This window comes from Homo sapiens, chromosome 2 (genome assembly GCF_000001405.40).
Source record: "Homo sapiens chromosome 2, GRCh38.p14 Primary Assembly".
NCBI classification, from domain to species: domain Eukaryota; kingdom Metazoa; phylum Chordata; class Mammalia; order Primates; family Hominidae; genus Homo; species Homo sapiens.
This window is the reverse complement of record NC_000002.12, coordinates 120,078,703-120,097,258: the sequence shown is the minus strand read 5'-3', so window position 1 is coordinate 120,097,258 and position 18,556 is coordinate 120,078,703. Positions and strand designations below refer to the sequence as shown.

General features: G+C 37.5%; 1 protein-coding gene across 13 annotated transcripts in view; it reads right to left on the bottom strand.

The window, feature by feature from the left end:
* EPB41L5 (erythrocyte membrane protein band 4.1 like 5) overlaps positions 1-18,556 on the bottom strand; it is a 166,043-nt gene that overhangs the window by 81,861 nt on the left and 65,626 nt on the right. For all 13 annotated transcript variants that reach the window (NR_138472.2, NR_135920.3, XM_047445208.1 and 10 more), the window contains 4 exons: positions 10,019-10,088; positions 6,743-6,912; positions 5,598-5,704; positions 3,983-4,010 (listed from right to left, as the gene is read on the bottom strand). Coding sequence is in view for 11 of the 13 variants with exons in the window: in XM_047445208.1 (XP_047301164.1) it covers positions 3,983-4,010; positions 5,598-5,704; positions 6,743-6,912; positions 10,019-10,088 (375 nt within the window). In the remaining 2 variants the exon portion in view is untranslated. The remainder of the gene's footprint in view (positions 1-3,982; positions 4,011-5,597; positions 5,705-6,742; positions 6,913-10,018; positions 10,089-18,556) is intronic.

Sequence of the window (18,556 nt, the reverse complement as noted above, 5' to 3'; positions counted from 1 at the left end):
TAACCTTCAGGAGAGTTGGGTCCCCCACTACATCTCATTTCTAAAAGCTTAGTCTAAAAAAAAACCATTCCTTAAATATACCATTTCTGCTATGTTTTCCAGAGTCAAAAGCATCACTAATGAAGAGACACCAACATTTAGCCATTAAAGTTAAATTAATCATAATTCCAAAACAGGCACTATATATATTCATATTTTACCAGAAATGTGTTTCAGAACATCTTAAAGAAAAACCTCCTATTTTGCAAATAAAAGCCTTAATTTTTCAACTACGTACCATTGCTGAATACTTTGTTTACATTTCTGCTAACTTTAGCAGGTACTCACTTTTTACTTTAAGCTCTAATATTCCATATCCCAGCCTCCTTTTCAGGAAAGCAAGACATAATACATTAAATAAACAAAATAGCTTCAAAGGTACAGAAAAATCTCAAACATTACTCCATTTTTCTTTTTCTTTTTATTATTTGAGATGGAGTCTTGCTCTATCACCCGGGCTAGAGTGCAGTGGCGCAGTCTCGGCTCAGTGCAACCTCCGACTCCAGGGTTAAAGCAATTCTCCTGTCTCAGCCTCCAGAGTAGCTGGGATTACAGGCGCGCACCACCACGCCCAGCTGATTTTTGTATTTTTAGTAGAGATGGGGTCTTGCCACGTTGGTCTGGCTGGTCTCAAACTCCTGACCTCAGGTGATCTGCCTGCCTTGGCCTCCCAAAGTGTTAGGATTACAGGCATGAGCCACTGCTCCCAGCCATTACTCTACTTTTCTGAAAAACATAGCTTATAAATAAATCCAAGAAAAATAAAAGTATACAGCACAGAAAAGGCACAAAATGTTGTTTTTTTACCTAATAAAAATCTCACGGAGAGAGTTTCACAGAAATTTCACTTCCTCCCTGTTATATTTATTTATTTATTTTCAACAGCCTATTGACAGCTAAAGAAACTTGAGGGGAGTCCTTGTTCAGAAAGCGGAGTGCTATTATAGTCAATCACTAATCACGGACTGGCTTTAACAGCTTTCAAAGTGAAAAAAAAATGGACATTTCAAGGTGAGGCTGATGATACTCAATATCCAAAAATAACCAACTTCTTTTGAAAAAAGTCTAGTGAGACAACTGCCATATAAGAGTACAGACAAATTCAAAAATAAATTAGATTTGTGGGTATGGTCTGAATCTTATCTTTAACAGGCATTCTAGGAGACTCTAATACATACCAATTATTAAGCATTATATGAGACCACAGATATAGCCTCATTGTAATAAGTAATATTAAAATTAATGGAGCCGGCTGGGCGTGGTGGTTCACACCTGTAATCCTAGCACTTTGGGAGGCCGAGACAGGCGGATCACATGAGGTCAAGAGTTCGAAACCAGCCTGGCCAACATGGTGAAATCCTGTCTCTACTAAAAATCCAAAAAATTAGGTGGGCATGGTGGTGCGTGCCTGTAATCCCAGCTACTTGGGAGGCTGAGGCAGGAGAATCGCTTGAACCTGGGAGGCGGAGGTTGCAGTGAGCCAAGATCATGCCACTGCACTCCAACCTGAGCGATAGAGCAAGACTCCGTCTCAAAAAAAATTAATTAATTAATTAAATTTAATTAATGGAGCCATCAGAAGCAAGACCTTCAGAATGGTAATTTGAAAACAAAAGTAGATACTCTCGCCAGTGAAACAAACATTTAAGTGGTTTAAAAAAAAAAATCAGTAAGCTTGAGGACAGGTCAAGTGAGATTATGTAGTCTAAAAAAAAAAAAGTATAAAGAGAAGCGAACAGACTCAGAGACCTGTAGGACACCATCAAGTGTAACAACTTACATGTTAATGAGAATTCCAGAAGGAGAAGAGAAAGACAGCATAAAGAATATCTAGAGAAATAATGGGTAAAAACTTCCAGACTTGATGAAAAGGTTATATCATGGAAAAGCAACCATATGAAAACTGGACTGGCAATATTTACATCAAATAAAATCAACTTTAAAACAAAAGTTACTAGAGATAAAAAGGAACAGTCCATCAGGATAATATAACAATTAACAACACATACATACCTACCCCAAATCCACAACATACATGAAACAAAAACAGAAAGAACTGAAGGAAGAAATAGACAATAGTTGTAGACTACAATACTCCACTCTCAATAACGGATTAAAACTAGGCAAAAGATGAACAATGAAACAGAAGATCTGAACACAATAAACTAACAGACATCTATGAAACACTCCACTCAGAAACAGCAAAATATATACTCTTCTTAAGTACACATAAACTATTTTCCTGGGTGACTCATATGGAGGGGCCATAAAAAAAGTCTCAATAAGTTTAAAGGGATTGAAATCATACAAAGTATGTCCTCTACCCATTATGGAATAAAATTAGAAAAAAATAAAATTTTGACATTCACAAATACAAGGAAATTTAGCAACACACTCCTAAGTAATCAAACAAGTCAAAGAAGAAATCACAAGTTAGAAAATAAATTGAGGTAACCAAAAAACAAGAACACAACATAGCAAAACTTATTGAATTAAAGCAGTGCTTGAAAGGAAATTTAATATCTTTAAATGTTAAAAAATAAAGATCTCAGATAACCTAATCTTCCACCTTAAATACTAGAAAAACAGCAAACTAAACCTAAAGTGGAAGGAAAAAATAATATAGAGCAAAAATTAATGAAACAGAAAAACAGAAAAATCAATGAAACCAAAAGCTTTTCTATTTGAAAACGTCAACAAAATTGACAAACCTTTTGCTAGACTAGTTTTTTTTTTTGCAAGAAAAAAAAAAACTCAAAATACTAAAAATCAGAAAGGAAGGAGGAGATATTACTATGGAACTTTTAGAAATACAAAGGAAAAGGGAATACAAACTGTATCCCCACAAACTAGATACCACAGATAAAAGAGATAAAACTCTAGAAAGATACAAACTCCCAAACTGAATCAAGAAGAAAAAGAGAATCCGGGAGGGCCTGGTGCTGTGGCTCACGCCTGTAATCCCAGCAAGACGGGAGGCAGAGGCAGGAGGATTGCTTGAGCCCAGGAGTTTGAGACCAGCCTGGGCAATACAGGGAGGCCCCATCTCTACAAAAAATTTAAAAATTAGCCATGCATGATGGCAAGTGCCTGTAGTCCCAGCTACTTGGGAGGCAGAGGTGGGATGATCACTTGAGCCTAGGAGGGAGAGGCTGCAGTGAGCCAAGCCATGCTCAAGCTGCTGTACTGCAGCCTGGGTGAAAGAGCTAGGCCCTGCACGTCCCCTACCCCCACCCCAACAAAAAAAAAGAGAAGAAAAGAAAATCTGAACAGATCTCTCATAAGAATTTTTAAGATTCACATAAAGAGAAAGATGGCTTTAATGGTGAATTCTACCATACATTTAAATAATTAATACCCATTATTTACAAATTCTTCCCAAGAAATAGATGAGGAGGGAACATATACAAACTTATTTTGTAAAGCCAGTATTACCCACCCTACATAAAAAACCAGACAATGACATTATAAGAAAACTACAGGCCAATATTTCTGATGAATAGACACACAAATCCAAAAACATACCAGGCTAATGAAATCCAGCAACATATAACATAAAGAAGGTCTATACACCACAACCAAGTGGGATTTATCCCAGGAAGAAAATTGCCTATTTGCAAATCAACCTTTCTCCTTTGTGCTTCTTATGTATAAGGATCATAATTTATCTTAAGATCCTCAGCCACTTGCCAATAACAAAGGTATGTCATTCTCTTTATGAATGGCTCATCTGCCTCGACCCCATTCTTTACTTCCTTAAACTGCTTTAATTTTTCATCATGTCACTTTTATCTGGCATTACATGTTCATTTATTCCCTGACATATCCCTGGTGCTTTACGGACAACTTGACATTTTGATAGGTCTTAAATATTTGTTTAATGATAGCAACTACATAAATCCCAAATTCTATACCAATTCCTAAGTTGCAAAACATTACTTACCTAAGTTCTTCAGGTTTTGTAGCACATGCTAACAGAAGAAAAAAGATAACACCTCATTAGTTTCATCTTACATGATAAACTGCTGCACTATTCAAAGCAAAACTTTAACTAATTGCTTTACAAGCCATGTTTCACAACCATAAATTTATTTCTTTGAGAAAGGGTCTTTCATGATTTTGTAGAGATAGGGGTGGGTCTCACTACTGTTGCCCAGGCTGGTCTCAAACTCCTAAGAGTTGAGCTTTTGGGCTCAAGCAATCCTCCCACCTTGGCCTCCCAAAGTGCTGGGATTAAAGGTGTGAGCCACCACATTTGGCCCCAACCATAAATCTAAAAACCTTCAATTCACCAAAGTGTTTTGGGATTCACACCATAGAGGCAACAATGGCAATTATTTTCATTTTTCAAATAAAGCAATACAATGCATATATATCTCCTCCTTTTAAACAGAACCAATCTGTAAGCCTCCAGAGTGAGCTGACTGATTATGAATTATCATCAGTGGAAACCAAGAGGAAACTTAGGGTTTTAAAATCATCACAATTCATTTATAGCTGTATATTTAATTTACAGCCACACCAAAACTTATGAGTATAAATCATTTTTATAAAAAAGTCAATACTGCCAAACATCAGATCATTACAGCTGTTTTTGGACAACTGGTGATGACTCTGACAGTGGAAATACTTAAAATTAAATTTGCATTTTAATGCAAATTCATTTTAATGCAAATTCAGTTTAAAACCAAACACAAGGTTTAATTTATTTGTCAAGGTAAATAGTGCTTTTTCTTATATAACTGATCTTAATCAGCAAGTAACAATTATGAATTAGGAAATGTCTATGTATAACAATGATGAATATATTTTAAAATGGTATTTAATACAATCCTTAATATTATAATACAATATGAAATAAATTTTACTTAAAAAAAATTCATCACAAGACAATGTTTTGGCCAGGCATGCCTGTAATCCTTTTAGGATTCGGGAGGCCAAGGTGGGTGGATCACTTGAGGTCAGGAGTTCAAGACCAGCCCAGCCAACATGGCAAAACCCCATCTCTACTAAAAATACAAAAATGAGTCAGGAGTGGTGGCGCATGCCTGTAATCCCAGCTACTCAGGTGGCTGAGACATGAGAATCACTTGAATCTGGGAGGTGGAGGTTGCAGTGAGCTGAGATCATGCCACTGCACTCCAACCTGAGCAACAGAGTGAGACTATCTCAAAATAAATAAATAAATAAATAAATAAATAAATAAATAAAAATGTTTTTAAAAATTCCTAAGGGGATTAAGGGATGTTTTAGAATGAGATCTGTAAGTCAAAAAGGGAGAGAATATGTTGCTCTACAGAAACAGTTTTGTATACAAAAACTGAACATAACCTCAGACTATCATTTGAATTGGGATTAACATAAAGTTTAATCTCTGCTAACAATACAGGCAATTTTTCTCTGTGTATCCCATGAAATTGATTCTGCCAGAAAAGTACTTTAGTTGACTGGAACAGACCTGAGGAGGAGATTCAGGTAACTTCCTCTTATGGAAACAACACCAGCACATAATTAATTGCCAAGGAAAAATAATCCTTTGAAAGAGGGTTGCACTTCACCTTTCATTTGTAGAGTTCGTCTAGAATATCGTTTGCTGGGCCTTCTTTCAAAGGATGTTGATCTTCTTGCTTTATTGGTTTTTGTGGTCTGATACTCTGTTTTCCCACTAAATGAGGCATAACAGAAGTAAGGGAAATTTTAGGTCTACAGTAATAAACACACACAAATAAGACAGTCCACATTCAGGTTCTCCTTAAAAGAATCATCCTAAACTTCATCGCACAGGAACAGCTACTAATAGTCTCGATCTCTCTCTTTACCATATCATTCTTTCGGCTTTTGTGAAATATGCAACAGATTATGTTGGTTTTATTTTTCTCATATGCATGCATATCACCTAAGTACACATTAAATAAGTTTGAAATATCTGTCCTTTTATGGAAACTCCCTCTCTTTCCCATCTACATTCCTCAGTGCAAAGTGTGTAATTAAAAGAATATTTTCAGTTACTTTTTCTAATTGTGATATTCACTTTTCAGTATAATTTTCCAGAAATGTTTTTTAAGACTACTGTCTTATTCTCCTTGATTTCCATTTAAATTCTGTTTAGAAAATGCCTCCTTACTTTTAATATAAGTAGACTACAGTACTACTTCTATTAACTCCACACAATCAACTGGCCACATTATTGGTACAATCCATTCCTTCTTTAACTGATTTCCATGGCATGCAGAAAACTCACAACCAATAATCCACTCTGCAGTAAACCAAAACATTTCTAACTCATGACAACAAACAAGGAGTCATGAGAATAATGACCTTCAGGTTTATAAAGGACCACAAATGTTATCCAGACTAATATCCCATTCAGTGCAAGAAACCCTTTTCTATATGGTATCCAGTGGTGGGTGGAGAGTCCATAAAACTCTTGTTAAATAGATAAACTGGGAGTGGGTTAATATATAAAGTAAACATCCAGAGGGATATAAAAGCCATTATACAATTACTGTTTACGCATCTATTCAAGAAATTATAACCAATAACAATACCACTTTTTCTATTTTATTTTGGCCAATGGAAGACTCTGGCAAACCACCTTATTCCTCTATACCTTAGTTACCATATCTGTAAAAAAGAGAAGATTGGCCTAAATTTTTTGGCCTGTATGCAATGAAAGACAGATAAAACAGCAATTAAAATTAACCTATATCTAAATCGTGATCCTAGTCGAATAAATCCTGATCGATGAGAACTCTTTTGGACGGGGCCTCGAAGGCGGAAGAAAGCATGATGCTCCACAGCACATTTCCATAAATGTTTGCATGCTTTTGGATGATCCAGTCTAAAGACAAATGTATGTTCCTGTTCTTTGCCCTGAAAAAGAAAAGTATATATAAAAGGATGATTACTAATTCAAACAGTCCTATCTCCTATTTCTGAGATACAAACACATCCATGAATAAAGGATCTAGTGTGCTCCCTGAAATTCAGACACTCTTTATAGTATCAACATAATAAGGGCAGAGCTGAAATCAAGTTGCTCATTTTATCAGCCAATACAAAATTATTCCTAGGAGTTATTCCCCTCTACTTACATGATCTCATTTGTGAGAGAGACATAAAATGAGATTTTATCTGCCATTATTTGGGATAACTGTATAATTATAATTTGAGGAATCATATCAGATCTGGCAGTATGCATCAACAGCCCTAAAAATGCTCACATTTTTGTCATAGTAATCACACTGCCATGAGTCTAATTATAATAGTTAACATTCATATAGAAATTTTTCTAAGGATTTCACATAAATTATCTCAATGAGTAGATACTATCATTAGCCCCATTTCATAGATAAGGAAACTGAGGCTCAAAGAAATTAAGCCCAAAATCACAAAGCTATTAAGAAAGAAAACCGGAAATGAACTTAAACATTAGTCTTGCTCCAGAATCTACATACACCTCTAACAACTAAGTTATACTGCCTCTCTGGGGAAAATTATTTCCTAAACATCAAAAGTTATATATGAAGATGTATATTTCCTCAGTCTCATTTATAATAGTAAAACTTGGTACAAACCCTAAACGTCCAAAAAAAGAGAAATGGTCAAGTAAATAGAGGCATATGTAAAAAATTATGCAGAGGGATAAATGAATAAATGATGAATGAATGAATGTGCTATTGTTTATTCATATTACACAATAGCATATATATATGTTAGATCTACATAGGTACACGTTTAGATAAAACAGGCAAGCTGCAAATATATATAATTATGCAAGTTTTTAAAACAATTCTAACATGAGTTAATATTTGGAAAAAGTTACAAAATATATATGAGAATAATACCCTCCAAAATTGGTGACCAGGTACCAGAAGAAAGGGGGTAGGTAGTCAGGGGGTTAGACTTTAGTTGGTATTATTTATTCATGCACATAATTGTATTTATCTTTCTCTAAAAGAGAACTGAAGCAAAATGTAAAAAATGTTAAATCTAGATCATTAATAAGATGGTTATCTATTTTATAATTTTTGGTACTTTTCAGGTTATTTAAAGACACTATTAAGACAGTAAAGATGGATACGCTAATTACCCTGATTTGATAATTACACATTGTATACATGTATCAAAATATCACTCTGTATGCAATAAATATGTACAATTATTATATGTCATCTAAAAATAAAAGTGGTGGAAAAAGGGCAAAACAAGGAGTAGACGATACTTGCAACACTAATATCTGACAGAGAATTAATATCCAGAACATACAAAGAATTTTTTCAATGACTAAAAGGCACATGACCTAATAGAAAAATAAGCAAAAGATTTGAGTAGGCATTTCATAAAGAAGATATCCACATATCCAATAACTACACAGATAAGTACTAAACCAGAGTTGTCATTAGGGGAACACAAACTAAAACCACATTCTACTCCACAAGAATGGCTACAATGAAAAAGACAGAATTCCAAACATTAGCAAAAAAGAAAAAAAACACCAATAACATTGCTGGTGGGAGTATAAACTCGTATTAAATACTTTGGAAAGAGGTTTGGCAGTACCTACAAAAGCTAAATATACATACACCTTAGTGTTCAGAGCAGCACTCTTTTTTATTTTTTAACTTTTATTTTGGGTTTGGGGTACAAGAGAAGGTTTGTTACATAGGTAAACACGTGTCATGGTGGTTTATTGCACATGTTATTTCATCACCCAGGTATTAAGTCCAGTTATCTTTCAGTTAGTTATCTTTTCTACTCTTCTCCCTCTTCCCACCCTCCCCACTCAAGTAGATCCCAGTGTCCGCTGTTGCCTTCTTTGTGTTCATAAGTTCTTATCATTTAGCTCCCACTTGTAAGTAAGAGCATGTAGTATTTGGTTTTCTCTTCTTGCATTACTTTGCTAAGGATAATATCCTCCAGCTCCATCCATGGTCCCGCAAAAAAGATCTCATTCTTTTTTATGGCTGCATAGTATCCCATTGTGTGTTTAAAACAGGAAAAGTATAGCAGTCAAATTACTGAGCAGAGGAAAATGAAAGAACTGGATTCAAAAAAAAAATTTTCATCGTTATAAAAATGTTTAAACATACAGAAAAACTGAATACCCATATACATAGTGTCTAGACTCAACAACTGTTAACATTTTGCTCAAACTGCTTTTATCTGTATCTGTATGCATATGTTAAAATTTATTAATTTGCATAAAGTAAAATTCTTCTTGCCTTTTCTAAAGTATCAGATAAATGGAGTCATTCAATACATAATTTTTTAAATCTGGCTTCTTGCATTAAGAACAATGCATGTGAGTTGCATCCAAGCATGTATCAATTAAGAACCACACTGTAACTGATACAAAGGTAATCTTTAATTCAAAAGGCTTTATTATTATTAGGTAGATCTTTTTGATCAGTTAATAAAGAGATAAAGTTGGTCTGCCACAATGGTTTACTCCTGTAATCTCAACATGCTGAGAAGCTAAGATGGGAGGATTACTTAAGGCCAAGAGTTTGAGAGCAACCTTGGCAACATACTGAGATCCCATCTCTACAAATAAATGAAAAAATCAGCCAGGCGTGGTGGTGGCATGTGCCTGCAGTCCCAGCTACTCAGGAGGCTGAGTGAGCAGGAGGATCACTTGAGCCCAGAAGGTGAAGGTTACAGTGAGCTATGACAGTGCCACTGCCCTCCAGCCTGGGTGACTGGCTGGCTCACTTAAATGTAATTTTTTATACACCTCAGATATACGATCAATGAGGAAACAAGAAGACACTTTTATATTATTTTTCATCCTAAGGGCAGAAAACCATATTTTTAGCATGGTATGACCCAAGTAAGGAAATTATTTAAAGCATTAATTATACTGTTTGCATTCTGTGGCTCTTTAAAACAATGAGGTACATTCCCTCTTTTAGAGAAATAAGTTACCACATAATACAGTCACTGTTACACAAGTAATAGAATATAATTTTATTCCTACCTGATCATCATCTTCTACAACCACCAAGGTTAATTTATTCTTCTTAAAATCCAATCTGGTTATCTTCGGCCTATAATATAATAAGAGAATAAAAGCCAAATTACAAACAAATGTTCTCTAAATATGAAAAAAATTGTTTTTATTTCAAATACATTTAACCATCTAACTCCTGAACTAAAAATTGACAGGACGGTAAACGTAACTTGCAATGCCCATCAAAAGACAGGAAACAGAAAAACACAGTACATATTTCAAAAGCAAATCTCAGACAAAATTGAGGTTGCACATATCAGACATTAAAAATGTTAAGGAAAATGAAATCTATGTATTTGATAGGTCTCGATTATGGTGTAAGAGATTCTTTAGGTCTAGGGAAAATTGTTCCAGTGTTAAAGCAGAGCAGCAGCATAGGAACTAGACATAGGAACGACCATAAAGCTTAAAAAAAACAGCCATAAAGAAAAACACTGACGATGGTTTTCAACTCTTTTTGTTTGTTTGAGATAGGTTCTCCCTCCATTACACAGGGTGGACTGCAGTAGTGTGTTCACAGCTCACTGCAGCCGTGAACTTCCAGGCTCCAGTAATCCTCCTGCCTCAGCCTTACTCCCACACCACACCAGGCTAATTTTTGTATTCTTTGTAGAGACGGCATCTCGCTACGTTGCCCAGGCTGGTCTCAAATTCCTGGGCTCAAGTGATCCGCATACCCTGGTCTCCCAAAGTGTTGGAATTCAGACGTGAGCCACTGCAACCAGCCTCAACTCTGTTTTCAACAGGAATTTTGGGTAGAGGAAATACTTCTTAATTTTTTTAACCTCGCTTTATGGCCCGCTTTCCAACTGTATCTCCCTACTTGTAAATTCCAAACCACCTACCACACATTTGAACTCTGTATTTCCATAAATTGTGAATGTCGAAACAATGTGACACTCCGATTGACTAATCTTTAAATATAACATATAAAATAGATGTAAAACATAACTTTACAAGAGCTTTACTAAAACAATAATGAAGAAATAATAGCAGGAAAAAGAAAGGAAACAGAATCTCACTCTGTCACAAAGGCTGGAGTGCAGTGGCGTGATCTTGGCTCACTACAACCTCCACCTCCCAGGTTCAAGCAATTCTCCTGCCTCAGCCTCCAGAGTAGCTGGGATTACAGGTGCGTGCCACCATGCTATGCCTGGCTAATCTTAGTATTTTTAGTAGAGACAGGTTTTCACCATGTTGGCCAGGCTGGTCTTGAACTCCTGACCTCAGGTGAGCCCCTGCCTTGGTGGGGATTACAGGAGTGAGCCACCTGGTCTGCCCTAAGTATTCTTCTAAGTGCTTTACAAGTATTAATTAACTCTCAAGACAACCTTATAAAAAGGCAGAAAAGGAGCTTTCTTTATCTCTCTGCCTAAAGCATTCTTAGGCCAGGAAGCATGTTACATTTGCCCACAGGACAAGCTGGAGGTATGAGGGGATTTAACACCCAAAAAATTGGAAGATAATTGCCTGAGGTTCTTCACGCATCAAGGGACAACCGTAAAGGTGTTCAACTCAAGTCTCTCAGAGAGTCCCTAGCAAGAACACCCAGATGCAAAACTAAATGAAATACTACCTTCGAGAGCAGTGGTTCTCTCAGCACGGAGTTTGAGATCTGAGAACGGACAGACTGCCTCCTCAAGTGGGTCCCTGACCCCCAAGTAGCCTAACTGGGAGGCACCCTCCAGTAGTGGCACACTGACATCTCACACGGCTGGGTACCCCTCTGAGACGAAGCTTCAAGAGGAACAATCAGGCAGCAACATTTGCTGTTCAGCAATATTCGCTGTTCTGCAGCCTCCACTGGTGATACCCAGGCAAACAGGGTCTGGAGTGGACCTCCAGCAAACTCCAACAGACCTGCAGCTGTTGGAAGGAAAACTAACAAACAGAAAGGACATCCGCATCGAAACCCCATCCGTACATCACCATCATCAAAGACCAAAGGTAGATAAAACCACAAAGACGGGGAAAAAACAGAGCAGAAAAGCTGAAAATTCTAAAAATCAGAGCGCCTCTCCCCTCCAAAGGAACATAGCTCCTCGCCAGCAATGGAACAAAGCTGGACGGAGAATCACTTTGACGAGTTGAGAGAAGGCTTCAGATGATCAAACTTCTCTGAGCTAAAGGAGGAAGTTCGAACCCATCACAAAGAAGCTAAAAACCTTGAAAAAAGATTAGACAAACGGCTAACTAGAATAACTAGTGTAGACAAGTCCTTAAATGACCTGATGGAGCTGAAAACCATGGCATGAGAACGACGTGATGCATGCACAAGCTTCAGTAGCTGATTTGATCAACTGGAAGAAAGGGTATCAGTGATTGAAGATCAAATGAATGAAATGAAGTCAGAAGAGAAGTTTAGAGAAAAAAAGAGTAAAAAGGAACGAACAAAGCCTCCAAGAAATATGGGACTACGTAAAGAGACCAAATCTACGTCTGATTGGTGTACCTGAAAGTCAAGGGGAGAATGGAACCAAGTTGGAAAACACTCTGCAGGATATTATCCAGGAGAACTTCCCCAACTTAGCGAGGCAGGCCAACATTCAAATTCAGGAAATACAGAGAACACCACAAAGATACTCCTCCAGAAGAGCAACTCCAAGACACATGATTGTCAGATTCACCAAAGTGGAAATGAAGGAAAAAATGTTAAGGGCAGCCAGAGAGAAAGGTCGGGTTACCCACAAAGGGAAGCCCATCAGACTAACAGCAGATCTCTCGGCAGAAACTCTACAAGCCAGAAGAGACTAGGGGCCAATACTCAACATTCTTAGAGAAAAGAATTTTCAACCCAGAATTTCACATCCAACCAAACTAAGCTTCATAAGTGAAGGAGAAATAAAATAGTTTACAGACAAGCAAATGCTGAGAGATTTTGTCACCACGAGGCATGCCTTACAAGAGCTCCTGAAGGATGCACTAAACACGGAAAGGAACAACTGGTACCAGCCACTGCAAAACCATGCCAAATTGTAAAGACCATCGATGCTAGGAAGAAACTGCATCAACTAATGAGCAAAATAACCAGCTAACATCACAGCATGTTAGCTGTGACAGGATCAAATGACAGGATCAAATTCACATATGACAATATTAACCTTAAATGTAAATGGGCTAAATGCTCCAATTAAAAGACACAGACTGGCAAATTGGATAAAGAGTCAAGACCCACCAGTGTGCTGTATTCAGGAGACCCATCTCACGTGCAGAGACACACATAGGCTCAAAATAAAGGGATGGAGGAAGATCTACCAAGCAAATGGAAAACAAAAAAAGGCAGAGGTTGCAATCCTAGTCTCTGATAAAACAGACCTGAAACCAACAAAGATCAAAAGAGACAAAGAAGGCCATTACATAATGGTAAAGAGATCAATTCAACAAGAAGAGCTAACTATCCTAAATATATGTGCACCCAATACAGGAGCACCCAGATTCATAAAGCAAGTGCTTAGAGACCTACAAAGAGACTCAGACTCCCACACAATAATGTGGGAGACTTTAACACCCCACTGTCAACATTAGACAGATCGAGACAGAAAGTTAACAAGGATATCCAGGAATTGAACTCAGCTCTGCATCAAGCGGAACTAATAAGACATCTACAGAACTCTCCACCCCAAATCAGCAGAATATACATTCTTCTCAGCACCACATTGCACTTATTCCAAAACTGACCACATAGTTGGAAGTAAAACACTCCTCAGCAAATGTAAAAGAACAGAAATTATAACAAACTGTCTCTCAGACCACAGTGCTATCAAACTAGAACTCAGGATTAAGAAACACTCAAAACCACTCAACTACATGGAAAATGAACAACTTGCTCCTGAATGACTACTGGGTACATAATGAAATGAAGGCAGAAATAAAGATGTTCTTTGAAACCAATGAGAACAAAGACACAACATACCACAATCTCTGGGACACATTTAAAGCAGTGTGTAGGGGGAAATTTATAGCACTAAATGTCCACAAGAGAAAGCAGGAAAGATCTAAAACTGACACCCTAACATCACAATTAAAAGAACTAGAGAAGCAAGGGCAAACACATTCAAAAGCTAGCAGAAGGCAGGAAATAACTAAGATCACAGCAGAACTGAAGGAGATAGAGACACAAAAAACCCTTCAAAAAAATCAATCCAGGAGCTGGTTGTTTTTTGAAAAGATCAACAAAATTGATAGACTGCTAGCAAGACTAATAAAGAAGACAAGAGAGAAGAATCAAATAGAAGCAATAAAAAATGATAAAGGGGATATTACCACCGATCCCACAGAAATACAAACTACCATCAGAGAATACAATAAACACCTCTATGCAAATAAACAAAAAATCTAGAATAGACGGATAAATTCCTGGACACATACACCCTCCCAAGACTAAACCAGGAAGCAGTTGAATCCCTGAATAGACCAATAACAGGCTCTAAAATTGAGGCAATAATTAATAGTCTACCAACCAAAAAAAGTCCAGGACCAGATGGATTCATAGCCAAATTCTACCAGAGGTACAAGGAGGAGCTGGTACCATTCCTTCTGAAACTATTCTAACTGATAGAAAAAGAGGGAATCTTCCCTAACGCATTTTATGAGGCCAGCATCATCCTATACCAAAGCCTGGCAGAGACACAACAAAAAAAGAGAATTTTAGACCAATATCCCTGATGAACATCGATGCAAAAATCCTCAATAAAATACTGGCAAACCGAATCCAGGAGCACATCAAAAAGCTTACCCCCAAGATCAAGTGGGCTTCATCCCTGGGACGCAAGGCTGGTTCAACATATGCCAATCAATAAATGTAATCCAGCATATAAACAGAACTAATGACAAAAACCACGATTATCTCAATAGATGCAGAAAAAGCCTTTGATAAAATTCAACAGCCTTCATGGTAAAAACTCTCAATAAATTAGGTATTGATGGGATGTATCTCAAAATAATAAGAGCTATTTATGACAAACCCACAGCCAATATCATACTGAAAGGGCAAAAACTGGAAGCGTTCCCTTTGAAAACTGGCACAAGACAGGGATGCCCTCTCTCACCACTCCTATTCAACATAGTGTTGGAAGTTCTGGCCAGGGCAATCAGGCAGGAGAAAGAAATAAAGGCTATTCAATTAGGAAAAGAGGAAGTCAAACTGTCCCTGTTCACAGATGACACGATTGTATATTTAGAAAACCCCATCATCTCAGCCCAAAATCTCCTTAAGCTGATAAGGAACTTCAGCAAAGTCTCAGTATACAAAATCAATGTGCAAAAATCACAAGCATTCTTATACACCAATAACAGACAAACAGAGAGCCAAATCATGAGTGAACTCCCATTCACAATTGCTTCAAAGAGAATAAAATACCTAGGAATCCAACTTACAAGGGATGTGAAGGACCTCTTCAAGGAGGACTACAAACCACTGCTCAACAAAATAAAAGAGGACACAAACAAATGGAAGAACATTCCATGCTCATGGATAGGAAGAATCAATATCATGAAAATAGCCATACTGCCCAAGGTAATTTATAGATTCAATGCCATCCCCATCAAGCTAACAATGACTTTCTTCACAGAATTGGAAAAAACTACTTTAAAGTTCATACGGAACCAAAAAAGAGCCCATATAGCCAAAACAATCCTAAGCAAAAAGAACAAAGCTGAAGGCATTACGCTACCTGACTTCAAACTATATTACAAGGCTACAGTAACCAAAACAGCATGGTACTGGTACCAAAACAGAGATATAGACCAATGGAACAGAACAGAGCCCTCGGAAATAATACCACACATCTACAACCATCCAATCTTTGACAAACCTGACAAAAACAAGAAATGGGGAAAGGATTCCCTATTTAATAAATGGTGCCGGGAAAACTGGCTAGCCGTATGTAGAAAGCTGAAACTGGATCCCTTCCTTACACCTTATACAAAAATCAATTCAAGATGGATTAAAGACTTAAATGTTAGACCTAAAACCATAAAAACCCTAGAAGAAAACCTAGGCAATACCATTCAGGACATAGGCATGGGCAAAGACTTCATGTCTAAAACACCAAAAGCAATGGCAACAAAAGCCAAAATTGACAAATGGGATCTAATTAAACTAAAGAGCTTCTGCACAGCAAAAGAAACTACATCAGAGTGAACAGGCAACCTACAGAATGAGAGAAAAGTTTTGCAATCTACCCATCTGACAAAGTGCTAATATCTAGAATCTACAAAGAACTCAAACAAATTTACAAGAAAAAAAAACAAACAACCCCACCAAAAAGTGGGCAAAGGATATGAACAGACATTTCGCAAAAGAAGACATTTATGCAGCCAACAGACACATGAAAAAATGCTCATCATCACTGGCCATCAGAGAAATGCAAATCAAAACCACAATGAGATACATCTCACACCAGTTAGAATGGCCATCATTAAAAAGTCAGGAAACAGAAGGTGCTGGACAGAATGTGGAGACACAGGAACACTTTTGCACTGTTGGTGGGACTGTAAACTAGTGCAACCATTATGGAAGACAGTGTGGCGATTCCTCAAGGATCTAGAACTAGAAATACCATCTGACCCAGCCATCCCATTACTGGGTATATACCCAAAGGATTATAAATCATGCTGCTATAAAGACACATGCACACGTATGTTTACTGCGGCACTATTCACAATAGCAAAGACTTGGAACCAACCCCAATGTCCATCAATGATAGACTGGATTAAGAAAATGTGGCACATATACACCATGGAATACTATGCAGCCATAAAAAAGGATGAGTTCATATCCTTTGTAGGGACATGGATGAAGCTGGAAATCATCATTCTCAGCAAACTATTGCAAGGACAAAAAACCAAACACCGCATGTTCTCAGTCGTCGGTGGGAACTGAACAATGAGAACACTTGGACACAGGAAGGGGAACATCACACACCGGGGCCTGTCGTGGGGTTGGGGGAGGGGGAGGGATAGCATTAGGAGATATACCTAATGTAAATGACGAGTTAATCGGTGCAGCACACCAACTTGGCGCATGTATACATACGTAACAAACCTGCACACTTTGCACATGTACCCTAGAACTTAAAGTATAATAAAAAAAAAAAAAGAAATACTACTTTCAATTTTTTGAGGGAAATAATTTTCAACCTAAAATTCTATCCTCAGCCTAATTATCAAGAAAGAATAAAAGACAAAAAAATCATTTTAAGGCATTTAAGCATTCAAACAAATTACTTTTCTTAGGCAGTTACTTTCTTTACTTAGGCAGTTAGCGGGGGCAGGGAGGACAAAGAAAAAGGAAACCATGGGAGGACCACGCAGGACCCTAGCTGAGAACACAGGAAAGGGAAGTCTCAAGATAAAAGCTGGAAAGCAACCTGTGCAGCAAACAGTTCCACAGGGAACAGAAGGACCATTTAATGTAACCCTTGATAACTTAAAAAAGCTTGAGGAGAAGACAAAGGCAGGTAATTTAAAGGGATGTGTGGGGTATGTGAGATGGGGAAGCCAAGAACTCTAGAACAAAAACAAATAGCTAAAAAGAAAGGAAATGTAATACCAGTTGTGAGTTCCAGGACTTCCGAGCTGATCAAGAAAATGTACCACAGAACAGGCTTTATCGAGCAGTGTTTGGAAAGGGTTGCCTGATAGGGGTGGTCCTTCATAGCAGGTGACCTTCCAGAGACAGCAGCTGCAAGGCTACCACCAGATGGGGAGGAGGGCAAGGAAACTCTCAGTAAAGAGGGGAACCTGAGAGGGGGCTTAAGTGCCTAGGGGATGGCATTCAGCAGTTAAGTGTGAGGGATCTGAGTCAGAGAATTCAGAAAGGCAGCAGTGGTTTTGGGGTCCTTTAATCTACAGAGCTTGCCTTATCTATGGCCAGTAGATGTTAGGGTGCAGTTTCATGGGATATATAAAGCAGAAATGGCTAAAAATATACGTAGTGGGCTATGTTTAAAGTAACTGGATGTGTCAGAATTTGAGTTTGATGCCAGAGGTCTTTGCGCTAACAGTCCCTGTCTAGTGTACAAAAGTAAACACCTAGGCTCTGTACTATTCTGATAGAGACATCTTATTGTAAACAGTACCCTGATTCTCAGCTTTTAGAATACCAGACAAAATCTGATGGACTCAATTATGGCCAAGAAATCCAAGTAAAATCTATCCTTGATGTAAAAGTAAAACATAAATGTAATTTAAAAGTATGAACGATAAAAGCTGGAACAGTATAAGGAGCACAGCTTAGAGAAGGGATAAAAATATTAGTATCTTCCTCTTACACAATAGGGGGTAAAGGGATTGTGGAATAATAAATATTAAAAGCAATGACATGACTACATGGAGGGAGAAAGTGCCCATGTGAACATCTGATACATATAAAAATATAAATATTTATATCAAGATATAGATTGTGGTATACTTTGAAACTAATGGGAAATACAGCTAGAAGAGTTTTAATAATTGCCTCTGGAGAGTAGGAATAATGATGCGTAATAGTGTGACAGGAGACAG